We start from the raw sequence: 27,637 nt of genomic DNA, 5'->3' as shown, positions 1-27,637 counted from the left end.
GTTTCTCTTTTTAAAACAGAAAATACACATGAAACAAATTTTCCTCTGGCTAGTACACCTCAGTAGGTATGCCCATCCTGCATAAGACTGGAGCTACACTGTATGATTATAATGATTGAATGGCCAAGATCCTAAGAGGAACACCTGCCCACTGTTTCTAAATTTTCCTTGTTTGGGAAAATCTGAACTCCTCACAAGGTTAAGGAAGAGGAGACCCACAGGGTTACTCACATGATTCTGGCCTGTGGTACTACAAGAGAGAGGTAGAGAGGGAAAGAATGTTCTTGTTCAAAAATACACCAGACTTTAATGAGGTTAAGTTGAACAAACTTACATGGAATTTTTATATTAGGAGACGTTATCTAACTCAATATACATGTGTATGTATATAGATAGATACAAACCTACATGTATATATCAAATAATTTTGTTAGAACCTAATAATAATAAAACTATTTCTAATTTTTGCTTATATTTTTATTCATCTACTTAATCTATACATTTGATACCTACCATTTGTACCTACTATATGGTAGGAATTTTTCAGACATCATTTCTAATGTTGTTACCCCTATTTTACTTCTTAGGAAGTTGAGATTCAGAGAAGTAAATGTGCATCCCAAGCTGCAGTGGTAGTCAAGGAATGGGATGAGATTGAATGCTGTTTTTCCATAGGTTCGTTCTTGGCATCATGTTGCCTCAGAGAATCAGTTTCTGGGATGTACAACTAAAATTGTTTAATGTCTTTGACTCATTAAATGGCATAAAAGTTTTAAATTCTCATTCTAATATCATTCTGATTTTCTGAAGATCTTCCTTTGATGACAGCAAAAATACTCACTAAATGTTTAACCACAGATACTGAGTGGGTTCTGGCCAATCAGCGTGGGCTCCACTTGTATGTCCGACAGTTGAACGTCAACTCAAGTTTAAGGCCTCATGAAGCCTAATTAATAGCAATATAAACCAGTTTAAGCACTTTTGGCCAGTTAATATATTTTTTAAAAAGCACCACACAACGTTATTCTCAAAATCTTTGTCTTAATCTGGTATTAGCCATAGTTACAACATTCTGGTTTCAAGTTCTCAAGTAGTTTTTGGGGTTTGTTTTTATTGAGTCATTGAAAAATTACAGTAAATGAACCTACAGAATTTCTTGACTGAGAATCTGCCCTGTTTTTCCCTTTTTCTAGGTCTATTATTAGCAGAAGATTTTTCTGCATAGTTGGCACGCTGTACCTGTATCGGTGTATTACAATGTATGTAACTACACTCCCAGTACCTGGTATGCATTTCAACTGTTCTCCGAAGGTAAACTATTCCTCGCTGTAATTTCGCTTTCTGTTTGTTTCTTGTCTTGCCCTGGGGTCCTTTGAGTGAGGTTGCAGGAAAACGTTTCTTCAGAATACAGTGGAGTCACTCCTCTATCTGAGAATGTTACTAAATGATATGGCCAGGCAGCCCCACCCTTCCCAGAATCTCTAAGCCCTGCCAGTGCCTCCCAACTGGGGAAATGTGTGTTGGAAGCAGTTAAGCTTTGTGTAGTTCTTTGGTTTCCTGCCAAATTGTTAAAATATCATTCATTTCTTTGACACGCATCCAGAAGCTTTTATATGCTTCCTCTCCCTCGGAGGGAGAGCTCGATTTCAAGTGACATTTTTTCCATTTTCCTTCTTTCTATTAATCCCTACAGCAGAGCCAGGAAGAGAAAGTATTCCTATTTCCTTGCAGTCCTCAACCAAGCCAAATAAGATCACTGTTCTCTGGGGTAATATATTGCCTTATTGATTTTCTCTAGTAACAAAGAAGTCTTTTTAAAAATAAACTTTATTCCTCTCTTATTGTCTCTACCTTTCCATCAGATTCAAATGACACTCTTCACCTCCTAACCTTTACCTTGGAAGAATTTTTAACTAGGGTGATCGTTGGAACTCTGTGAAATAATTAGCAGATTTTATTGTTAAAATATTTATGTACATTAAAGCTCTTTAATGAATTTTTAAAAGAGGCTAATTTCTCTCCTTGATTTTTGGTGGGAGAAAATATAGTATACTCTGATGTATTTGAGATCATTTCTTTGCATTATACCTGTGTGGGTGAAACAGCCAAACACTTTCAGTCTCATTGCTTTGTACTTTTGTTCCTCCAGAAGAGATGTTCTCTTTGATAGAATCTTTGGAAAGAGAGCTGAAAAATTCACTCTGGATTTTTAATTTGATCATATGAAATTTTGGATCTCTTTAATTTGTATGTCTCCTGTGGCTCTTTTCTTTGCTAAACTTACATATGTGCCTACAGAGATAGCTCATTTCTTACTTAACTTTTTGCTTTTTTTAATTTTTTAATTTTTTTAATTTTTTTTATTTTTTGCTACACACTACTTCCTTACCTCTGGAAGAGCTGTCATACAAAAGCAATGTTCTCAACATTCCACTCTTCTCTATCAGCCATCCTGCCTCCCTGCACTCTCCTTCTTGCAGTTTCTTTCGCCCTTCCAAAGAAGCCAGCTTCACATCGTTTTTATTGTCTGTAAAAGCTCTCAAGCACTCACCTGTAGCTCCTGGGTTATAGGGAATATCTTGTTGTCATTGAAAATCCAAGGATATGGACTCTTGCTGGGAGCCTGGCTTGATAAGCAGCATGTTCTCAGCAGTAAACTGACAGTTTAGGATATTCACCTAAGTTTAATTCAGCTCCTTAAAAAAGTCTGTGCATTGGGAAATTTTGCTACCAAGGGGTAGGTAGATGTAGGTTCTGGCCAAGCACATGTTGAAGATGGATCCAGTATTGAGGGGCCGTACCATGTAGCCTTTCTCCCTACTCTGGTTCTAAACTTGTTTCTTCTTGAGGACTACTGTAGCTCCGCCAGTTGCTGGCAAGCCCATACTTGGTGAGCCATTGGTTCTTACATAGTCAGCTTGAGTCATCAACATATCTAACCAAAATTCTTTGCCTAAGAATAGCTTGTGGGTTTTCTTCGTAAACACAGAAGTAGCAGCAGGAACTGTTCACAAAAGCCAAACTCAAACGTGTTGCTCATTTATTGTGTTGCCAGAAATCCCAACTAGGGCCCTCATTCTATGAGGATCTTCTGGAAACTAGAATCTTAAACAGTAGGAGGTGAAATATTAGCACACCTTAGAAAAAAATACTAGTTAAAACTCATTAAATCTAATTACTACAAAATCTAATTTTGTAGAATAAGACTCTTGGAAGAAAGGATTTAGAATACACTTTTTTATTCTGAAAACTTTCACATGTATCCCAACTGCTATAAGGAACTCCCATAAACCCAACACTCAGATTCAATAATTATCAAGATTTGCAACATTTGTTTCCTTTCTTTTTTCTTTTTGAAGTATTTAAAACAACTCCCAGGTAACGTCATTTCACCTCCACATACTTTAGTACGCATCTAAAAACTGTGAACATTTTAGTACAAAACCATAATGCTATTGGTGTTCAACAAAATTAATAGTAATTCTGTGATATCAGCAATTACAAGTTGATGCGATATCCTGATTGTCTTAAAATGCTTTTCCTTTTTTTACAGTTGGTTTGTATAAATTAGGGTCCAAAATCTTTATATTACATTTACTTGTTCTGTCTTTTAAGTCTATAATTCTAAAGCAGTCCTTTCTTCCTTTCACCCCTCTACCAGTAGCCTGTAGACATTAGATTAATAGTCCTACAGAATATCCCACTTTCTGGATTTATCCATTTGTTTCTTTGTGGTGTCAAGTGACTTGTGTCGCTCTATGTTTCCTCTGAATAGAAAGTTGGCTCTGCAGACTTAATTAGATTCAATTTTAGCTTGTTAACAGAATATTTGCCAGGTGGAATAGAAAGACTTCTGAAGCTAGGCACAAGAGTTGGGAAAGGCTTCGAAGGCTTGGTGCTGCCTCTTGGATGGCAGATCAAGCTTAAGAAATTCAGTGGTCAGGCAAGGGCTAGAATCCTCCACTGAGAACGAGTATCTGAAGACAGAAAAGGGTGACACTGGAGAGAAGCCTCAGAGGACAGCTTTGCCTACTTTAGAATCATACCTAGGGCTAAGGGAATCAGAAGTGAGAGGAACCTTATTAAAAGTCACTCAGGCCAAAGTTCTATTTGATGTCTGAACATCATCGCCACTGAATCTTCCATCTCTCTCTGAACCATTGTACAGAGAGGGAACTTAATTGCCCCTGTAAAAATACAAACTTACCTAATAGTAAAAAGAACACTAAAGTTAAGGTTAAGACAGTCTTACACAACCACTTACTAGCATTGGGCAAGTCATTTAACTTTTCAGAGCCTCAGTTCCCTCCCTAAATGGCAAAGCAGAGCTAATGATGCTTTTTGAAATCTGTCTTAAGGAGTTATAGGTGTGGAAGGAGACAGTTTCTAGGGGCTCTGTGGGTGTAACGCACTATACAGAAGTAAGAAGAGGACTTAGTATTGTCATCATGCTTCAACCCCTAGACTCTTATTTATCCAGTGAGAACTGATTTAACAAACATACATTAGGGACCTACTGTGCTTTGGGTGCTAGAGTATGAGGCATGAGGAAGGTAGATATAGTTCCTACCTTTGTGGAAAACACCTTAAAATCTGTTAGTTTAAATTTGTAACTTATGTAATAAATGTGTAAAATGCTGTGATAAGGGCCTCAAGCTAAGCTACTGGCCCTAAGGATGGATGGAGAGGAAGAAACAGACTTGAGCAATATTTAAGAGACCAAATTGATACAACTTGATAATAGATTTCATGCAGGGAATGAGAATAGGGAAAGATTCCAAGGGCTGGATTTTACACTGGTATAATGACATGGTATAGAGGAAATGAGAGTTAATGAGTTGGATTAAACACAGAGTTTAAAGTATCTGTGAGATATCTAAGTGGTGATGTCCAAGATAGTTAGCAATATAGTCTAAAGCTGAGGGAAACATCAGGCTGGAAAATAAATATTTGTGAATCATCATATTCTGGATGGTGGTTAAAGCTGTGGATATGGATGAAAAGGCCCAGAAACAAGTTACAGAAAGCACAGTGCTTCCAGAATTGGATATTCTATTATTTGAGATACCAATTAAGGCCTGTCACTTGGTGGATACTCTGACAGTTACTCAATATCACTAAACTGTAAGGGAGGAGAGTTGAGCTTTAGAATATGACTTCCTGCTTAATACAGTCATGTGAACTTAAACTTGGTTTCACTATGCCATTAAAATGCTGTAATTAGTGTACTTAATGCTTCCCTTAATGCCAGTACTCAAAATGTGCAGCTCCTAAGAAAAATGTTTCAACAAGTATACAGTAGTGATTATAAAAATTGGTCTTATTGTTCATTCACTCGATGGCAGTATACTCTTCACAAAATATAATCGCTCAGAGAAATAATAATCCTATGAGATGATCAGGCTGTGAGGAAAAGTAGGCTTCCCATAAATGTTTCTGCAGCAATAATAAGCCACTGGGAAAAGGAAGTGAAAAGGGAAGTGGATGTGTTCAGTTTCTAGATTGCAAATTTCTGGCATATCCCATGGTGGTATACATGTGCATGGCTTACACTGGAGGCTGCCAAATTTTTGATACCTTGATTAGCCCATGTTACTCTCATCATAGCTCCAAAGACCGTGTGTTCCATCCTGAAAACAACCTCTTCTCATCTTTTTTTTTTTTTTTTTTTTTTTTTGAGACGGAGTCTCGCTCTGTCGCCCAGGCCGGACTGCGGACTGCAGTGGCGCAATCTCGGCTCACTGCAAGCTCCGCTTCCCGGGTTCACGCCATTCTCCTGCCTCAGCCTCCCGAGTAGCTGGGACTACAGGCGCCCGCCACCGCGCCCGGCTAATTTTTTGTATTTTTAGTAGAGACGGGGTTTCACCTTGTTAGCCAGGATGGTCTCGATCTCCTGACCTCATGATCCACCCGCCTCGGCCTCCCAAAGTGCTGGGATTACAGGCGTGAGCCACCGCGCCCGGCCCCTCTTCTCATCTTTTTACAACTGTTTATGATACTGGTTTCTTTAGAAAAGGGGCAGAATATTTGAGAATTCTTTGGTGTTGTAAGCTTCCCGTTGGTAAGGTTTTTCCTGTTTTAACAAACTCCTTAAAATAAAAAATCCCAGATAAACAGGCAGCCTAATGCTAATAGAAGAGAAGAAATAACTTGCACTGTTTTCGACTCTCATTTTCATAATCAGATGAGTTAATCTAATAGTGACTAAACAGTAAAATGAGATGCATGTTTGGGCGTGTTTTGTGGTCTCCATGGTGACCTTAGATTTGAAAACCTTTGAGAAGAGAGAGAGTACATTAAGACAGGGACACTCAGCTGGCTAGTGCATTAATCCAATGTGGAGTTTTCAGTGAAATGATTCTCTTGAACTTGAAAAACATGTTTTGTTTTGTTTTAATTTTTGCCTCTGACATAAGTGAACACAGCCCATTTTTGGACAGGGTTATGTCTGGGTGGCATCTGAGGTTGATCGCTCAGTGGATCAATATAATACAAATGCAACAGCAGAACAGCCTTCATATTCTTCTCTGCCACTGTCAGCTTTTCTGCAATGCACAGATTAGAAAGATGAAACCACCTCCTTTGACTTGCTGCTGAACTGTAATGTCAACCATCAGCCTAACGGGTCCCTATGCTGGCACAAGTTCAGTCTTATAAGGCAACAGACTCATTGCTCTTTAGGATGTTATGGCCTTCTTCAGTTCTTTCTTACTTTCCTGAGTAGCAGTTAGAGTATTCCAGGTGCCCTCTACACTGACAAAGTTTGATATTCTGATTAGCTCCTGCTAACCTTATCAGTATTTCAGGATATGGCTTGTGTTCCATTACCAAAATAACTTCCTGCCATCCTGTTGGATGGTGTGCAACTTAAATTGTCAATGCTTGATTTTGGATAATTTTCTGCTGGTCTTCCAGTTTCTGATTGTCATTAAAATTTTCCTTTTCGTTTGTTCTCAATTCTTTTTTTTCTGCTTCTTGCATATACTTTCCAGTAACGTTTCCCATCCTAAATCTGTTCTTTGCTTTTCCTTTTCTCTCATTGCTGCTGTTCTCTTCCTTTTTCAGTGATTAAAGATAGCAATGTTCTAAATAACTTCTCTCTGTCACTTAAAAAGAGATGTTTTCATTTTAAATAAACCATACATTCTTTAAAGATATATTGAAAGACTACAAAAAGAGGAAGATTTTAGAACCACTCATGACCCTATCTACTATTAACAATTCAGTATATTAGTTCCTTATGTATGCATTTTTTACATGATTCTGATGGTGCTGTCTATGCATTTATTATTCATATCTCCTTATATTTAACATTTGATGTATGAATTTTTACATTATTGTATAAACTCTAGCCTTTCTAAAGGCTTTCTTACTAAAAGGAAGAAACCACTTTCCCAGAATGTGAGACAGGCAGATTGTTGATGTGATTTCATTTGATAGTCAAGAAGCTTGTTTATTTCCTGAGCAACGTTTCTAGAGAACCTGCCCTATGTGGGCATACTGGTAAATTTTGAGGACACACAATATATAAGACAAGCGCCTTCTCCCTCTGGGCATCCAGAAGCTGTGAAAGAGACAGAAATGTAATCCCCAGATCCCCCTCTGACTCCCTGTAGTAGATTTGCAGAGCCATTTGCCATGGATGCACAGACACCGGAGGCACCTCTGCTGGGAGCATGAGCTGCCCTGTGGATGTGCCTCTGAGCCCAATCTCAAAGGAGGAATAGGAGTTTGCCAAGTGGAGATAGAGGGAGGAAGGGTTCCAGGTGGAGGAAACAACGGGTATGGAAGGGAATTGGGGAATAAGGTCAAGTTAGATGTATCTGGACATGGGATCTTATGGAGCAAGTGGCCAGAGATGACTCCAGACAGGCAGTCAATCTTGTGGGAAGATTTTAAAGGGCCTTGACACCCAACTAAGGAGTCGTGGTTCTATCTATAGGCAATAGGAAGCCAGGAAAAGTTTTAGCAGGGGCATTATTTGATCACATCTGTCTTTAGAAGCATCTCTCTCCATTGATAGAGATAGTAGGGTATTTGGGAGGGAAGGAGGGAAGTAGACTTAAGTAGTATCAAATTATATGCACCTGTTTTGTGCCAGATACGAATTCAAATGTTGTGTTTTTATTTAATTTTTATAACAGTGAGTGGGATAAAATTGCAGTTGGTTCAGAGTTATGTGACCAGCCTAATGTCTTATAGGTACTGAGTGGCAAAGGCAAGAAGACTAGCCAAGTATCTGTTCTTGGTACTCACGTGAGGGAGACGGATGATGCTTCTGCATGGATTTCTGAATTAGAGATGAGGAAGGCCTAGACCAGGGCAGAGTGGGGGACATGTTTGGGAGGCATTGGGAAGGTGAGAAAGATGATCCACATGGCAGAAGCCATCTGGTATGAAGAGGTAACCAGAGTCAGAAAGCATTCACTGGGGAATTCTAAAAAACCTCAGAGCTAACCATGTATGACTCTAAATAACTAATATATAGTTACTAATCATAAAACTAATAAGAGAAATTTTAGAAATAAAAAATTACTATTTTGCAACCACTACAGTAATAATTCAAGTATTATAATTTAGAATCATCACTGGATGCTAAGGCCCTTGTGTGAAAGGTTGGCGATCATAATATTTACATAATTTTAAAAAATAACAGATTGCTTATTAATTATAAAGGGGCAAAGGTATGTATTTAGTGGAGAAATACAGTAGACACTCGCATAGTCAAGTGAACAAACCAGTAGAAGGACAAATGACATCAGGTGCTTCTGAATGTGATGCACTGAGAGGGATACAGCATCATCTCGGGAATACTCCTGCCAACAGTGTTTAAGCTGGATTTAAACAGAAGGCAACATTCAGATAAAACCAAATCAAGCAATATTCTATAAAGAAACTGGATTGGACTCTTCAGTGTCATGGGGAAAAAAAGACTGACAAACTGTAGTAGACTAAGAAGAAATCAGGGCATGATAAGTAACCTCAATGTGTATTCTCTGATTGGAACCTAGACTGGGGAAAGAAGCTCTAAAGGACATTGTTGACACTATCGAGTAGTTTGAATATGGACTGTTTTTTAAGTATGGTAGTATTATATAATTGTTAAATTTCATAAGTGTGATTTTAGAAGAGAATGCCCTTGTTACTGTGTTTAGATGTGAGGTGTTTTAATTTATTCGACTTCTTCCCAAGGGACCCAGGAAAAAAAGTGAGAGAAAGGAGAAGAAAATGTGATACAATCTTGATAATTAATGAGCCAAAATGAAGTGTCTACAGGTGCTCACTTGCTACTTTTTCACATTTATAATTTTTCAAACTAAAAAGCCAAGGGCAATTTTTTTTTTTTTTTTTTTTGGTGGCAAATCTCACTTCCTGACCAGGTAGACTGAAGGATCCTCCAACACTTAAAGGAGATGTGATTTTGTTAAAGGGAAATCTTGCCTGACTGAAATGCTGGATTTCTTTAATGTGACAAATAAGAATATGGGTAATAGAAATCCATAGCTGACCTTTATTTAAGATTTTATCAAGCCTTTGATAAGTCTTCCGGTTAGAGACTACAACAAAATTTAAAAGTTTTTTTTGATGGAGGGAAGGAGGGGCTGGTGGGAGATTAGTGTTTTATTGCTGATAATTGCTTAGAGACACCCCCTATCCCTAAAACAAGTCTGCCTAGTATAGGAATTGATGAGTACATTTGAGAATGGAGAAATGTAGACAGCCAGATTCTTCACAGCCGAGTGAAGGGAAAAGTCTATTTTAAAAGTTGTATGTATGAATTCTAAGAGGAGTAAAATCTCTTGTCCTTTAGATCAGTTGTGGTGGGCATAATATTTGTGAGTAAAAACCACATCTTTCCAGGAGTGGAGTGATTACTATATGTATAGAGAACACATAAAAGTCTCTTGAGTGATCAAGAGATGGCCACCAGTGAGCGTCCGGCAGGGATCTATATTTAAGGAGAATCATCCAGATTTCACTTGCTGACTGTTAGGCATTGAGTTCTCCCTTAAGAACCCCCCAAAAGATGGACCTAACTTGGATTGTTAAGTAATGCTGCCTGAAATTTGTATAACACTTTATTTTAGCAATCACTTTTATAAACATTGTCTTGCTTTGGTGGGTAGAGGTTGAGGATGAGAAAATGTTCTTGCCATTTTACAGGTGAGAAAACTGAGGCTAGGATGGTAAAATGGTTTGTCTAGAGCCACCTGCATGGTAGCCCAAAACTGCAGTTTGAAGTTGGATTCATGCTCATTGTTGTTCCTATAAAAGTGAGCTTGGAGACCAGTATAGCACAATATAAAGCAAGGAAAGTTAAAATCAATTGGGAATGCTTTGTTTAAGAAGAGAGAAGGCAGAAAATGGGCAATTGGTTTGTGAAAGAATTCCACAGAAATGATTTTTATAGGCCGGGCAAGTTGGCTCACGCCTGTAATCCTAGCACTTTGGGAGGCCCAAGGCGGTGGACATTGCCTGAGCTCAGGAGTTTGAGACCAGCCTGGGCAACACAGTGAAACCCTGTCTCTACTAAAATACAAAAAATTAGCCGGGTGTGGCGGCATGCACCTATAATCCCAGCTACTTGGGAGGCTGAGGCAGGAGAATTGCTTGAACCCAGGAGGTGGAGGTTGCAGTGAGCCGAGATTGTGCCATTGCACTCCAGCCGGGGCTCTCAAGAGAGTGAGACTGTCTAAAAAAAAAAAAAAAAAAGAAAGAAATAACTTTTATAGAGACAGGGGAGCTTGATTTAAATAAAAACTAAGCTTACGAAAAATAGTTAGTGAATAGTGAATAAATGTTGTTTTAGCTATTCAATCGTGTATTAATAAATGACATATTTAAAATTGGTTAAATTTCATTAGAACAACAACAAGAACAACAAAAAGTAAACCTGGAGAAATTGTCCAGCCTTGGGTATTGTCCTTGTTATTTGGAAAGGTGTTTGCAACAATAGCAGGTGTTTTCCAGGGACCTAAAGGCAAGATTGTTTAGCTCAGAGGTAAGACATTTGGGCTCTGAACCCAACTGAGTCACTCTGTGTGACCTCATGTACTGGTCGGTAAGCCACTCTTTTAAATGGGCATAGTAACAACTACGCTCACCAACTGACAAGCTTGTGAAGATACAGTGAGATAACTGATGGGAAAACACTGCTAAAATGTTGGAATCTGTGTACAAACAAAAGATATTGTTTTATTTTGTAAAACTACCCTGTAAGTCATGTTTTTACTGACCAACAGTAAAATAAGGCCGGAGAAATTGTAAGAGGCAGCTTTGAGCCTCTTCATTGCTGCTTTGAAATCTAAAGCATTCATCACACTTTCAAACACATTACCTTCCTGGTGGGGACTACAAAGTCAGGCTAAAGGACATTTCATAACTTACAATAATTCTGCTGCTTGATTCCTTTATCAGATCTGGTCTTTGATTTGAGTGTTTAAGAGCAGCATTTTTGGCATTTCATGGATGAAATGAATTTTCTGTTCATGAGCACATGGTGTTAGCATTGAAAAATACTTGGGGAAACCTCTTTTTTCATAGCCAAAAGCTCACTAGTTCTAAGTGTCACGGTTAGGAGGGCTGTTACATGCCAGTTGAAATTGGGGAAGTGGCATAGTTTTGCTGTTTTGGGCCACTTGGGAAGTTGATGTTGAGGGACACCACAGTGTGTAAGGTGTGTTTCTCAGTTGCAGGCTGCTGAAGATGCAGATTGATGAGGATTCTACCATTCCTCCTCCTGATCCTGTTACTTGATTCGTGTATTGGATTTGGTCTTTGGTCTGAGTGTTTTAACAGCAGCCTTTTTAGCATTTTGTGGATGATAATGAATTTTCTATTCTGGAGGAAGACTGCTCTTTGGGAACAGAACAAAATAATTTACCTTAATAGGAGGGAGAGAGGGACTTTGAGAAAATGTCTGGCTGTTCATGGTAGTTGGAATAGTATAATATTACTTCTGCAAGGTACCTAGGCTGCTGAAGGAAAAGTTCCTTTGTATGTATCAAGTTCCTGGTTTATCCAAGCTTGTGAGGGCCAAGCTGTGCACAAGGCAGCATATAGTTTTGTAAATAGCACATTTAAATAGTCAGAGGACTTGGATTCTAGGCTCGGCTCCAACACTGGAGACCTACAGCAGATAGGGTCTGCCTTGCTGACTTTCCTGGGCTGCTCTAGGCTGCAGCATTAGCGATTGTCAATGCTTATTTTAAATCGCATTTCTGCTCCTTAGTACTCACTTTCAGCTCTTCAACAAAGCTATACCAAAGCTGTCAAAGCTATGAAAGCCATTAATTTGTGCAGCATTATTTGATGGGTTTTAGTTCTAGGTTACCCCCTTCCTCCTAATGGGGCTGAAGTACAGTCAGTGCCCCTGCTCTGCAAATGTAGTTAGAAAAAGCCAGTGCTCTAAGCCATCTGCAAACTGAATGATGGCAAACTGACTGTCATCAGTACATTATGTTAGCACTGAAAAAATACTGGGAAACCTGTGTCTTTCATAACCAAAGGCTCACTGGTTCTAAATGTACCTGATAGTGTGTCTCATTCAAAAGCCTTTCCCTCTTCCTTCTGCTCTTTTTTTCTGTGCTTTGGTATTGTGTAAGTGATTTGGCCAATTTACCTAATTTCTTGGTAGTTCATTAGAATTTGAAGAATATTGCCTGTTTTTACTGGTTATTGGTTTTCTGTGACCCTGGGAAACCATAATGCACATAGTGGTGTAGATATGAGACTTTCTTGTCACAGCTTTGTAGTATCCACTGAAAGTTTTTATGTCTCCCTTAAATTATCTCTGCTTTCAAAAATAGACATTCAAAAGCTACTGATAGGCAAGGTTTCAATTCCAGTTATAATGGAGTAAGCACACTCCATCTTTCTTTCACACTGAATGCAGCCAAAAAACACTGGGCAGAATATATGGATCAGCTATTTGAGGAATCAAAAGCAAATGATAGTGGGCAGATGGAGGAAGGAAACCAAAATGCAAGGTATGAAAGACCCAGTCCAGAGTTTCCTGTTTCATTTTGTTCTTTTCTTTTCTTTTTTCCATTCACATTTCCTGCCTGATTTCAAAGGCAGTGCACATCCCAGAATTGCACTCTGGGTGCAGACAGAGCTCCAAGGGAATCCCTCTCTTTCTGGCCAAAGGAAAGGAAGGGAAGCCACACCAGGACAGAGAGTGGAAGAAAGCCTACCAATTTCCAAGCTAACCCTGTTAACATTTAATATGTTACATTCTAGACTTTTTCTGCACATAGTGTTTGTAAAACAGTTATAATTATACCAAACATTGTGTTTCCTGTTTTTTTCTCTTAATAGAGGAATATGCTTACAATCTAGACTTACTATACAGTCACTGTAAACTTATTTTTAAATAATTTGGTAAACAGCTGTAGGCTGGTTCAGGGCTTCTCAAATCTTAATGTGCATTTAAATTACCTTAGATTCTGGTTCACTGGTCTACCTTGGGACCTGAGAATGCATTTACAGCAGGCACCCCATCTTGCCAATACTGTCCCTAGAAAGACCAGGTTTTGAATAGTTATTTAACAGTTCCCATTTAGGTTGTTTCCAGTTTTTTGCTTTCTTTTTTAGAGACAGGGTCTCACTTTGTTGCCCAGGCTGAAGTGCAGCGGTATGATTGTAGCTCACTGTAGCCTTGAACTCCTAGGCTCAAAGGATCCTCCCACCTTAGCCTTCCAAGTAGCTGGGACTACAGGCACATGCCACCACATCCAGCTTACTTTTACATTTTTTGTACAGACAGTCTCGCCATGTTGCCCAGGCTGGTCCCAAACTCCTGGCTTCAAGCGACCCTCCCAAAGTGCTGAGATTACAGAAATGAGCCATCACGCCCAGCCTGTTGCTTTTGTGATTAGTGTTACAGTGGGATATTTTTGCACATAGAACTTTTCTTCATATTTGGTATTATTTCTTTGAGGTAGACTCCTAGAAGCAATGTGACTGGGTCAGAAGTTATGACTGTTTAAATTGCTGGTAAACTATTGGTGATTATTTTCTCAGAAGATTTTGCCAGTGATAATAAATATATTCTTCCCAAATTGTAGATGAGGAAATCGAGGCTTAGAATGGTTCAGCTGTATAAGGTCACACAGCAAATCATTCGAAGAGCTGTGATTTTACCCGCAGATATCTGTTTCGTGGCCTGCTCTTCCCCTGCACTACTTTGGAGACAGCCACTGCTTCCCCCCATCCCCTCCATTTAAACAAGCCTCGCCGTCCTTGTGCTTGCCTCACCATTAGCTCACTCTTTTTTCTTTTAAGCTTTGCTAATTCAACATGGGAAAATGAGCTCCTGTTATGTTCATTTTTATTTATATTTGTTTGACAGAATTTATGCCTCTATGTGGTCACATCCCTTGTCCTTTGATAAGTTTTGTTTCCTAAGTTGGTCTTATTTTACTTGATTTCTCTGTGCTATGTAAACAATATAGATATTAACTTGTTTCTGCTGCAACTGTTTTGTAATTTGTCTTGTATTTTGTTTGCTTTTTTTAAACATAATTTAAATTTTTCTTTCTCTTTTTCTATTTCTCACTAAGCTTAAAGAGGTTTTCCCTTTGCAGAAGTTTGATAAACATAGGAAGATATTTTGAAAAGGAAGCTTAGGGTCTCTAAGGGTACCTGTAAGAAATACAGCATTAAATTTTTGCCTTTTTCCTCAGTGCCAGGTTTACTTCATAATTTCTCCTTTCTGCCCAAACACATTGTTTCACCACAAAGATTTTCTTGCTCAAATGAGAGGACAAAGTATGGGTGATGCTGCCTTGAGAATATGATTTATCATTTTTAAAACACAGAGGGAATTTTAGAAAAGCATTATGAAATAATGTAAAATGAAGAAATACCCAAGCTTTTTTGCCATAATTTTCTTCTACATTTTATCCATTGTTATAACAGAACTGGACCAAACTTTTAATTTGAAACTTTAAAAAAAATTATAATGTTTATGCAGGCATGCAATTTGAAAACTAAAATGGTTCTACACAACTCGATGTGAAAAAACAGTAGTCTCCTGGTCCTGACCCCAACAGCGCCTTTTCCTATTCTCCTTCAACTCTTTTAGCTGAACCTTGTGGTATTTAACTCTTTGTCATTCACTCTTTTTTTTAGATTTTTTAATGTGTTTACTTTTGTGTCTCCACGTGACATGAGATATTGTTACTCTGTAATTTTTGAATATAGGCATTCACCGTTACTGACTTCTGCTGTAGAAGGCAAAGCTTTAGTGTCCGTCTGTGACTCCTCCTTCATGATCCCTACCCTCCGACCCCATCTCCACTACACACGTTCAAGTTTCCTATCCTGTCTTTGCTGTGCAGTTCTTTGTCCTTCGTTTAGCTCAATATGCAGTGCTTACATTATTACAGTTCTGTAAATGCTATTCATGGCCAAGTCATGTCGTTTCCTAGAATTACTTTCCTTCTCTGCACAACATTTTGTTTCCTGTAGAGTTAGTAATTGCCTTGGTTTTTTGCTTTAGTAGTTTTCTTTGCACTTACTCACCCCCAAGTTATGAAACTCCTCTCAATACAGCCAGAGGCATTGGGTATTCTGTTGGGCTCATCTCCATGATGACATCCCTCCAGAGCATTCTGGCTGTTTGCTTTCCAGCCCAAACTTGTGAGCTACTGTGAAGTCCTTCATCTCTCCTTTTTTGGCATCGTAGTGAGTCCCATTTCTTCTTTTCTCCATGTTTACTCCCTTGTTTTGGAGACTGTACCCTCTGTGATTCCTGGAAAAGAGTATATAAGCGGTAAATATTTTTAAATCGTGTATATATGAAAAAGGCTTTAATTTATCCTTAGTTTATCCTTCAGTTTATGCTTAGTAGTAATATGGCTGGGTACAGAATTCTAAGTGGGAAATCATTTTCCCACAAAATCTAAAGGCATTTTCTCAAAGCTTTCTGTTTTTCAGTGTGGCTTTTGAAAAGTCTTATTCTAATGATCCTTCATGTAAAGCTTGTTTTTAATCTCTGGAGGCTTTAGAGTCTCTTCTTAGTCCCCAGATTCTAAAATCCCATGATGCTGAGTCTTGATATGTAGATCTGTTTTCTTCCATTATGTTGAGCATTCAGTGATCTCTTTGGATTTGGAAATTTATATCCTCTGTGTGGTGTGCTCCATCTGCCATTCTTTTTTTTTTTTTTTTTTAATTTCTCACACTTCACTGATGTATCATCCTTCCATCCTTAATCAGAAGTCTTGATAATTTTTTAAAAGGAAATTATAATAAAACATGTTGCCCAAAGCTAGATTCTTATAAGTTAAATATTGAAATCATGGTAATTAAATTGGACAACCAGAATTTAATTAAATTGGATCATGGTAATTAAATTAGACAACCAGAATTTAAAAGAGTACTAACAAGCATAAAATATAGACAGTTACACATTTTACTTGACCGAGCAAATAAAGGTTGTAATGAATGAGTTGTTCAAGCTATTTATTACTCCGGTGTCCAGCCCAGACTTGTATCATAGACAGGTAAATTAATTTATAATCTGGAAAATTATTCAATGTTACCTACATAATTTGAGAAGATTAAAGGCACATCCCTTGTTTCAACATGATCCCTGAACATCCACATACCAAAAATATTCATATATTTGACTACCCAAACCTTCAGCTGCTTTAGCCAAGTGTAGTAGGACAGTTGTCTTCTAGGCCAACCATGATAAAAATACATCTTTAAATTTTTCCTAGACTACAGATTTAAATTTTATTTTTCCCAAATGATAGTTATACTAAAGCAATTATTCAGTCAGTCAGATAGAAGTACTGTTTCTCTGTCATTGTAATTTTTGAAAAACTGGGGAAACATCTACTGACACGTGCTTTAAAAAGTGCTAACTGTGAAAAGTCCTGAAGCCACGTGATTCATTTGTAGGACCATCCCACCCCCCCGCCCCAAGGGCTACTCTTGGAATGGTAAACACTGAGTGGGCAAACTTCCTGGTGGGGATTTTATGTTTCTTAATATAAGCTTAATTCTGGATATGAATAGTAATCTTCGCACATTTTCATGTGGGCTCGTAATGAATCTTCTTTTTCTTCTTTTCTTTTTTTCTGCCAGCTTTTCGGAGACTGGGAAGCCCAACTGCGAAGAATAATGAAGCTCATTGCTGGAGGTGGCTTGTCTATCACTGGCTCTCACAACATGTGTGGGGACTATCTGTACAGCGGCCACACGGTCATGCTAACACTTACCTACTTATTTATCAAAGAGTGTAAGTCTAAAAGACTTCCATTGTAATTTCCTCACCTGCCATTTCTCATGAACTCTGGTCCTCTGGTAAAGCTCATTTTCTGGAAAATCTGCTGAAGCAAGACTGGAGGCTTCAGGAGGCTTGCAGCTTCATCTCATCGCCATGCAACTGGCACCCAGGGAAATATGTGGAAGGACAGAACTGGTCTTCCTGAGGACGAGGTGTCCTGGAGTGTCATCTGTAGTACTGGGGTGGAGGCAGTTCCAAGCACAGCCTGCAGGGTGTGTTATGAGCCAGTTATACAGCTGCTGTAAGGAGCCAGATGGAAATCTCAAAGGGACACAGAAATCCAGTATCAAGCCTGATTGGGTGATGGTAGATTATGTGTTGATGCAGCAACTATTTTTTCAGCACTTGGCACTATGCTACATGCCTGAGGGTACAGTGATGGGTCAGACTCATCCCTGTCCTCAACAAGGCCATGGGCTCAGGGCTGAGGCAGATACTAAATGGGAAATTTCCCTTAAGAAACGTACTTAAAATATTTTATTGTGAAATCACAAAATAATATTATAAATACCGCATACATGGCTCAGATTTAATATATATTAGCATTTTGTCATATTTAATTCAGATAACCCTTTTAGAAAGGAAATGAAATGTTAATATATGATTAAAACCTTTTCATTCCTTTCCTATATCATTTCCATCCATTTTTTTGGACTTGTGTATTATTGTTTTGTGGTTTTTTAAATTTATATACATAAATGGCATACTGCCATTTATATTCTTCTGCCACTATTTACCCTCAAATTATGTTTTTGAGATATGAGATTTTGGTCCATTCACTTTAATTGCTATTAATATTACAGTGCTAGAAATGAACTACACATATTTATTCATTTCTCTACTTATGGAAAATTTTATTATGCTCAATATCACATTGTTAGAAACAGTCTGATAAGCATTATACAGGGGGGTTTCCATGAAGAGCAATGAGTAGAACCAGGCTGCTGTGGTATCACAGAGGAGGGAGATGCTTTGCCTTCTGGAGGTGTCTTGGGAGCATGTGGTACTCTCTGGAAGTTTAAGTGGGTGGAATTCAGAGTAGGGGTAATAATAAGAATGGACAGGTAAGTGGGAACCAGATCACAGGGGGTGCTTAAGCCACAAGAAGAGGGTCTGAACTCTCAGCTGATGTAGATCGGGTGCCCATTGAGGGGTTGTAACCAGTGGGGCAGTGTCATTTGTCTTTGAAGAGAGAAAAATCACTCTTGCAGCAGCTTGCAGGATGGACTGGATGGGGGACCAAACTGGAGACCGGGAGAAAAGTTAGGAGATTGCTGCAGTAACAAAGGAAACTAGCCTGATGGCATCAGGGATGGAGAGAAGTGACAGACACTTTAAGACATTAATAAAGAGAGTCAGCAGATAACAGGATGGATTATGGGGTAGAGAAAACAGGTAGTGGACTGGGTCGAAACCTAGTTTTGTTCTTGAAAAACTAAGATAAGGAAATACAGGAAGGGAAGAGAGATGCACTTCAGGGCACTGAGATAGAAAAGGGAGAATAGATGTTCCAGTGCTTATACTTAGTACGTGAGCAGATATAGTGAGTTCTAGCAAGATCTGTTCAGAATTGTCAGGGCATAATCTAGCCTTTGGACTGGAATGTAACTGGATGTGGACAGTAGGAATCACATAGGCCAGATGTCAGCACCCCTGGGGGAGGGATTCCTGGCTCCTGCTGCCTGATACCTGAAATTCTTTAACGGGGTCAAGGCTTATCCATCTTGACAATAAGGCAATGTGTCATATTGAGAGGCAGAGGCGTTGGTACTATCACTTACTAGCTCTATGACCCTGGGAAGAAACTTTAACCTAAGTCTTAGTTTCCTCATGTTTAGAATGAGATATTCACATCTGCTTCATCGGGTGGGAAAAAGTTTATGAACATTAAAATTAGATGGCATATATGGATACTAATAGAGTCACACAGAGACTGAATGGTAGCTGTTTCTTGTTTTTGTATTGTCAAGGTATCAAATACAAATATTACTAGAATATTCCTACCCTAACTGCTCCATTTAAAATTGCAAACTGCCCTTCACTCCCTATACTTCTGATCCCCCTTATCCAGCTCAACTTTATTATTTTTCCACAGCCTTTAACACCTAACATAATGTGTAAATTATTTATTATAAGTATTGTCTCTTATCTCTCTTCCCCACTAGGAAGGGATCTTCCCACAAAGGCAGCCTCCTTGCCTTTTTTATTCATTGATCCAGGTATCTAGAGCATTGCCTGTCCCTGGCATGTAAGAGGCTCAATGAATATTGGTTGAATGAATGACTGGTTCTTGGACCCATTGAGAATCCAATAAAAGTCTGAACCTGTCATGCTGGTGTAGAGAGTATAGATCATATTCAAACAACATTTTGCCTAACACTGCAGAGCCTCTGAATCCCACAATTGAGAATCCAAGGTAGAAAGGCCTGCACTAATAGAAATTTTGATGTTTTTCTCAGGTAATTTCCCAAATGGGGATACAGACAAGTATTTATCTGACACCATTCGACCTTTGAGAAGGCACTTGAACTAGAATTCCCAGGCGTCTGGATGCTTTTCTGCTTGTATTTGAGAAATGAAAATCTCAAAGACTTTCAGATTAGTGTATGGTTGCAGAACTTGGAAAGCAGTACAGTTAAATCAGTTATGACTGCTTAGTCCTTGTATTAGGCTCTGTGGGCCAAAAGGTATTGATTTTTGTGTAGAGCATCAACCCCAAATTAGCTAGAGGTAAATTTAAATGTCAATGGACAGTTTTTAAAAACGAAACATGATGCATTAACCTGTCCTTATTTGATTAGCCTCATCTTTTAAACTCTATTTATGATTGTATGAATCAAGTAAGAACCAAATATGAATTACTATCACTAGTATAATCACATCATAAAAAGCTGTTTCTGTTCTAACCTTGGTTACAGATAAATGACAGCCCTTAGATTCACTAGATCTGTTTTCAGAAGGGAAGACTCAAGGTAATTGGATTCAGAAGCATTAGTAGAGGCATAGTTGGGTGCCCTTAATGTCATTTGAATAATGGGACTATTGCAAATCTCTCCCCCTTTCAGATTCCCCTCGGCGACTCTGGTGGTATCACTGGATTTGCTGGCTTCTCAGCGTAGTTGGAATCTTCTGTATTCTCTTAGCGCATGACCACTACACTGTGGACGTGGTGGTGGCATATTACATCACCACGAGACTCTTCTGGTGGTATCACACTATGGCCAATCAGCAAGTGAGTTTCCCCGCTTTTGATTTTAGCTTCTGTTGTTTCTGGCTTGATGTTGCTGGCTTGGACAGGGTGCAAAGAACCTGTGGATGTCTGAAGTTTCTCTTTCTTAAGTAGTAATCAACTAAGATTGTATTGTTTTTTTGTGACATTGATTCTCTTCAGAATTAAGAATAAAAAGTTTATTAATATAATGATGTGAGGAATTACTTCCTTCTAGAATAAGGAACGCACTTTCATTGTCCTTGAAAAATGAAAAATATTTTCTAAGCTTGTGTCCCTCCTTGCTTGATTTGCTTTCCTATCCTCTTCTCCCTACCCGGGGCACATCACAAGCTTAATATTTAACATTTAATTAAGTGTTAACATTTTTAGCATAGAAGAGGAATACCTAAAAAGCTAACTGAGGTGTTTATTTATAAGCAAGAGATGAGTGAGCCATAAGTTCTCCTTGCCCTCCCAGAATTGGCGTTGTTTTTCTACTGGGATGTGGCTCAGTTTGTAGATGAATGTGGAGTGTAGAATGGTGATGAGAGAGAGAAGCTGGGATATGTGGGTGGACACGCAGGGCAGGTATGGAGTCCTTTGGGAATTTTAGCGTGGCAAGTATTTGAACTTAAAGTGAAAGATTGTAAGAAATGTGTTTATGTTTCTTTGTTATCCTAGGTGCTAAAGGAAGCTTCCCAGATGAACCTCCTGGCCAGGGTGTGGTGGTACAGGCCATTTCAGTACTTTGAAAAGAATGTCCAAGGAATTGTACCTCGATCTTACCATTGGCCTTTCCCCTGGCCAGTAGTCCACCTCAGTAGGCAAGTTAAATACAGCCGGCTGGTGAATGACACATAACAGCTGTACAAAGTGGGGAAAAGACAAATTGTCCGAAGTGCTAAGAACTCCATGAGAGAAGATGCCATAAAATAAACACCTCCCTAATCCTATTATCTTTCAATGGTTACCTTGACTTAACCTATTGAGTTACCTGGTCAGCACTGTGATCTTTTTTTCTCTCCAAAGGACCTGCGTTGGACAACAATAAAGAAAAATTTAACCTATCATGCACTGTACACATTTCCTGTTCATAAGTTTGGGATTTACATAACCCGCAACCACCATGTTCCTTTGTATATGATGCAGCAGCATAAATGTAAGCTTTTATATCATAAGTTCTGGTCTTTCCAGTCACATCTGGAAATAAAGCGTATTATTTTCTTGGGAAAACATACTTTTCATATCTCTTGCCCCAAAGATTGGGCTGTAAGCCATTTTCTAGCAAATGTCTCTATGAAGGTTTCTAAGTACCTGAATGGGGTTTGATTCTGAAATCTTTCTACCTGTTGCACCGATATTCAAATAAAAATGATAGACACAGAAAGGTTTGGTAACTTTGGGTTTTGTAAAATCAGCAAAGGCAGTGTTTCAAAAAGTGCAAAAAAAAAGATTCTGTTATAAAGTGATTTTCTAAGTATTTCCTAACTTTATTTTTCAAAATGATGTTATGAACACCAAATTTAAAGATTTTTAACATGTCAGAGAGAAGAGAGTTAAAATTTAAAAATGCATCTTGGGAGAGAAATTTGTCTATGTTTCTAGTGCCTTTCTTGTCTTGATTGTATGGTCAGTAGGCAATCTTAAATGTTTTTATTTAAAATAAAGTATTCCTTGAAAATATAAATATATGTATACACTACTAAATTTTGCATTTATAGCTAAATTGAATCAGAAGACTGCTTATGGTTTTAAAATTGCAATGACTTAAATAATGAGGTTGTTAATTAGAGTCAGAGCCTGTTCACATATTGTGATCAGGTAGCAATGACATGTACCACTTAAATTATTTTATCGTCGATTTGGTAGTTCAATTTTAACTACTCAATGAAAACAGCCATGAATATCTTTTCTTAAAGAGAGTTTTGAAAATGATCACTTACCTAAAACTTGAAAGCTATGAATTAGTTATCCATACTCTCATGACAATTTTGTTGGTGAACAACAAAAAAGAGATCTATTTCTTTAAAAGATATTTGTGCAGAAACTGCATGTAACTCTAAGTTTTACTCCTAACATACATATGTTTGGGGAAGTATTCTATTCTATACTTGCCAATGTGGAGAACAAAATAGTTTTTTAAGAATGAAGAAGTATATATATCCATTCTGTATTTTACGTGCAGCAGAATTATCTTCCGTAGGATTTTTTTGTGTATTCACAAGGTGATATTTGTATTGTAAAACAATAATGGTGAAGGAAATAAAAAGGCTTTTAAAATTTTGTTTGTTTTAAATCTTTGTAAAGTTATTATTCCAGAGAGTATACTGGTATCTTACAGCTTACCTAGATCATAAATTAATCAAAATGCACTTTTTAATAAAAACTGATACTTAAAATAAATGGCTGTTATTTCTACTGTGTTCACATTCTTCACAGAAGTCATAAATGGAGCCATTAAAGCAAGATAGAAAATCAGTTTCAGAATTTCTTCATGGAGTGTTTCTGCTTGACATGGGACTTTTAATAATTATCTGGATTTTTTTCCTTGGGATTCCTTAAAATATATTCTAATCTTTAGTAAATTCTAGAGAGTTTTTTAATATATAAAAAGAGTCACATGTAAGTTAAATTCAAACTTTAGAACAATGTTTACTAACATTTTGAATTCTCTAATTCTCAACCAAATTGTTTTTTTTCCTATATCTGGCAGTAATATAGCTTCTCCAGTGTAGATGGAAAGGAAAAGTAAATCCAAAGTGAGAAATAGAGTAATAGTACTATGATAAACCAGTGGTAATGGAAAATAACTATTTAAAAAGAATAAAAGGTTATTATTATTTCTGATGTGGTGACTAAAGGAAAATGTCAACAGTGGAGATGTGTCTTTGATAAAGGATGTGTTAAGGAGGCTAGAAATGTAAAACCAGAGGCCAGGTGTGGTGGCTCACGCCTGTAATTCCGGCACTTTGGGAAGCCGAGGTGGGCTGATCACTTGAACCCAGGAGATTAAGACCAGCCTGATCAATATGAAACCCAGTTTCTACAAAAAATACAAAAATTAACCTGGCACGGTGATACATGCCTGTGGTCCCAGCCTCTCAGGAGACAGGTGGGAGGAGCGCTTGAGGCCGGGAGACAGAGGCTGCAGTGAGCCATGACCGTGCCACTGCACTCCAGCCCCAGCAAAAGAGTGAAACTCTATCTCCGAAAAAAAAAAAAAAGGAAATTAGAACCAGTAAAACTTTTCCTGTGTGGGGCTTTAAACTTGTGTATCAGACAGGGGAAATGTGGTGGCCTCTTTAGGCAAATAGAGCCAAACCCTTGGATAGGTCTTTATTTAACTGTTATAGCCTTTCACTAACTTTGACTATCAGCTGCTGCCATATTGAAGGGAAAGTAAATTGAGTAAGTGGAAATGATATATTGGCACTTGCTAAAAATAGGATTTTTTCCCTAAAAAACTAGAAATCATTATATAAAAATTTGTTATGAGTTTACATGCCACATATGTATCAAGAAATCCACTGCTGATTGTTCTTCATGGCTGACTACACTGATTCATGAATTGACATATCTTCTGGGTCTCTAGTGTGCAAATCCCAGGAAGGACAAGGAGAAAGCTCATTGTATTCTAGAGTATCATTGTACACTTGGTAAGGATTGCCTGTATAAGGACATGTGCTTTCTCAATGTCTTTTTTTTTTTTTTTTTGGCTCACTTAAGTTAGACATTTTACATGTATTAGTTAACCCTCACACATCCACAAAGTGTAATTATTATTGCCATTTTACAGATAGACCAACCAAAGTGACTCAGATATATTAAATAACTTGCCCAAGGGCATGCAACTGGTAACTGGTAAAAGTCCTATTGGAAGCCAAGTTTCCCCCCTCCCCCATCAATACTGTGAGCTTTCATAAACTCTTCAGTAAGAGTCTGCAGTGAGAGAAACCTATGCCTATGGTGGTAAAGCATACTCTCACCATGGACTGAGGAGCAAGAAATTTACACCATAAGGTGTGAGAGGAAAATTTGACTGATTTCCTAATTGCTATATGTTTTATTTGTATCCCAAGCACATGCCAAATTTTGATCAATGTGATAAATATCTCATAATACCTCATACAATGGAAATGCATGCCAACCTTAATTTGACCACCAATATACAAAAAGTCAACCAGATTTCTGAATTTACTAGAAAACAATATGTTGCTTGGATCACTAGATATTGACATCCTTTATTTTTTTTTCTCCCTGTAGTCAAGAAACAATTTGAACAAATCAAAGCTGTTGACTTGGTATTCTGCTTATCAGCACCTTAAAATACTTATCCATCTCCTAGTTTACAGTACAAGTCAGAAGGAAATTAAATGACCTTTCACATTTAAAGTGATAGTTGATATAACTGAATGAATATCTATCATGTTTGTAACTCTTTTCTGTTTGTTGCATTTGTCCTCTCTTCATCCCTTCCTTTTTCTGTCTTCCTTTAGTTTTGAACAATTTATGATTCTATTTTATCTCTTATCATACCAGTTATTCTTTTTACGAATTTTTAAATGGTTGCCCTAGAGTTTACAATATAAACTTTTTTCCAAATACAAGCCTGCCTTCAAGTGTAGTGTAGGCATTTTATAACAACACATTCCCAATTTCTCATTTCTGCCCTTAGAACATTGATGTCATTCATTTGACTTATCCATATGGTATAATCACTCAACACATTATTACATTTATTACTTTGAACAAGCAATTACCTTACAGATCAATTAAGAACAAGTAAAGATTTTGTTCATCTTCACTTATTTATTCTCTGATGCTCTTCTTATGTAGTTCAAGCTTCTAACCAACATCATTTTCATTTTGCCTGAAGAACTTCCCATTTCTTGCAGGGCAGGTTGGCTGGCTTTTTTCTTTCAACATTTTAAATATTTCACTCCACTTTCTTCTGGCTTACCTAGTTTCTCACAAGAAGTCTGCCATAATTTTATTCTTTTCTTCTATAGGTAATATGTTTTTTCTCTGACTTCTTTCAAAAATTTCTCGTTGTCTTTGCCTTTCTACAGATTGAATATGAAATGCATAGGTGTAGATTTTTTTTGGTGAGGGTGGTATTTATTTTTGGTGTTCTCTGAGCTTCCTGGGTCTGTGGTTTGGTGTCTGTCATTAATTTCGAAAAGTTGTCAGCCATTATTACTTCTTTCTTCTCTGCTTTCCCTTTCTTTTGTTTCTGATACTCCCGTTATGATAAGTTACACATTTTGAAATTGTCCCACAGTTCTTGGATGTTTGCCTCCCACTTTTTTCAGTTTGATAGGTTTCTATTGACATATCTTAAAGCTCACTGATACTACTCTCCTTGGCCATGTTTGTTCTAATGATGACCCCATCGAAGGCATTCTTCATTTCTGTTACGATGTTGACTATTTCTAGCAGTTTCTTTTGGTTCTTAGCTCCAAATTCTTCTGCTGTATTTGTGGCCCTCCCTTTTGACTTGGGCTTCCCTAAGTAGTCCTCCTCAGAGAGGGTCTGTGTCATGTATCTCTTTTAACTGTAATCCACTGTTTTTCTTGCTGGAGCTCTATTGGTGTGGTGGTTAGATGTTGGATAGGGGGAGAGTTTAACCATATGATTGAATCTCAGTTTTTCAAGACTTTTTTTGTTGATACACAATATGGGCTACATGTGATATATTGCTACATGCATAGAATGAGTAATGATCAAGTCAGGGTATTTAGGATTATCACTTCAAGTATTTACTGTTTCTGTGTCTTGGGAACATTTCAAGTCCTCTCTTCTAGCTATTTTGAAATATACATTATTGTTAACCATAATCACCCTATAAACATTAGAATTTATTCCTTCTATCTAACTGTATGTTTGTACCCATTAACCAAACTGTCTTCACCCCACTTACCCTTCCCTGCCCCTGGTATCCATTTTTTCTCTCTATCTTCAAAAGATCAACTCCTTTTGCTCCCACTAATGAGTGAGAACATGCAGTATTTGTATTTTGGTGTCTTACTTATTTAACATAATGATCTCCAGTTCCATCCATTGCAGCAAATGACATCATTTCATTCCTTTCTGTGGCCAAATAGTATTCCAGTGTGTATATATACCACATCTTCATACATTTGTCCATTGATGAATACTGAGGCTGACTCTATATTGTTGCTGTTGTGAATAGTGCTCCAATAAACACGTAAGTGCAGGTATCTTTTTCATATACTGATTTCTTTTCTTTTGGATAAATAAATACCCGGTAGTGGGATTGGTGGATCATATGGTATTTTTTTGGTCTTTTTCAGTAATAGTCATTCTAACTGTGGTAAGATGATTAGCAATGTTGAGCTTTTTTTCATATACCTGTTGGCCATTGTATGTCTTCTCCTTTGAGAAATCTCAATTCATGCCCTTTGCCCACTTTTTAATGGGATTTTTTTTTTTCACTGTTCAACTGTCTGTGTTCCTTGTATATTCTGGATGTTAGTCTCTTGTTGGATGAATAGTTTGCAAATATTTTTCTCCCATTTAGCAGGTGGCGTCTTCACTCTGTTGATTGTTTCCTTTGCTTCCCATTTAGCAGGTGGTGTCTTCACTCTGTTGATTGTTTCCTTTGCTTTGCAGAGCCTTTTAGTTTGATATAGTCCCATTTGTCTATTTTTGGTTTTGTTGTCAAAGTTTTCAGGTCTTAGCTATAAAATCTTATGTTTAAGTCTTTAATCCATCTTGAGTTTATTTTTGTATACAGTTAAAGATACAGGTCCAGTTCCATTCTTCTACATAGGGATATCCGATTTTCCCAGGACCATTTATTGAAGAAGGTGTCCCTTCCCTAGTGTATGTTTTTCACACATTTGTAGAAAATTAACTGTCTCCAAATATGTGGATTTATTTCTAGATTCTCTATTTCATTACATTGGCCTATGTGTCTGTTATTATATCCAAATCATGTTGTTTTCGTTACTATATCCTTGTAATCTATACCGAAATCAGATAATATAATGCCTTCAGCTTTGTTCTTTTTGCTCAGAATTCCTTTGACTATTCAGGCTCTATTTTGGTTTCATATGAATTTTAGGATTGTTTTTTCTATTACTGTGAAAAATGGCATTGGT

At 37.7% G+C, this 27,637-nt stretch overlaps 1 protein-coding gene across 12 annotated transcripts in view, besides 1 other annotated feature; it reads left to right on the top strand.

Annotated features, from left to right (window-relative positions):
• SGMS1 (sphingomyelin synthase 1) overlaps positions 1–22,916 on the top strand; it is a 319,585-nt gene extending 296,669 nt beyond the window's left edge. For 9 of the 12 annotated variants that reach the window (XM_047424974.1, NM_147156.4, XM_047424973.1 and 6 more), the window contains 4 exons: positions 1,194–1,311; positions 17,101–17,254; positions 20,368–20,534; positions 21,195–22,916. In XM_047424974.1, the coding sequence (XP_047280930.1) occupies positions 1,194–1,311; positions 17,101–17,254; positions 20,368–20,534; positions 21,195–21,374 (619 nt within the window). In that variant the 3' untranslated portion in view covers positions 21,375–22,916. Of the gene's footprint in view, positions 1–1,193; positions 1,312–17,100; positions 17,255–20,367; positions 20,535–21,194 lie in introns of those variants that run through there. The other 3 variants (XR_007061953.1, XM_047424982.1, XM_047424981.1) reach the window with 3 other exon arrangements.
• Positions 14,930–15,429: an enhancer, noted in NCBI's record as "H3K4me1 hESC enhancer chr10:52072847-52073346 (GRCh37/hg19 assembly coordinates)". NCBI's record gives its function as "activates a minimal SCP1, AML or CMV promoter by ChIP-STARR-seq in naive H9 embryonic stem cells {active_cell/tissue: H9 hESC(naive)}" and the evidence as "EXISTENCE:reporter gene assay evidence [ECO:0000049][PMID:30033119]".
• Positions 22,917–27,637: the final 4,721 nt, after the last annotated feature.

The sequence above is a fragment of the Homo sapiens genome, chromosome 10 (genome assembly GCF_000001405.40).
Source record: "Homo sapiens chromosome 10, GRCh38.p14 Primary Assembly".
NCBI classification, from domain to species: Eukaryota; Metazoa; Chordata; class Mammalia; order Primates; family Hominidae; genus Homo; species Homo sapiens.
This window is presented reverse-complemented; position numbering and strand designations above follow the sequence as displayed.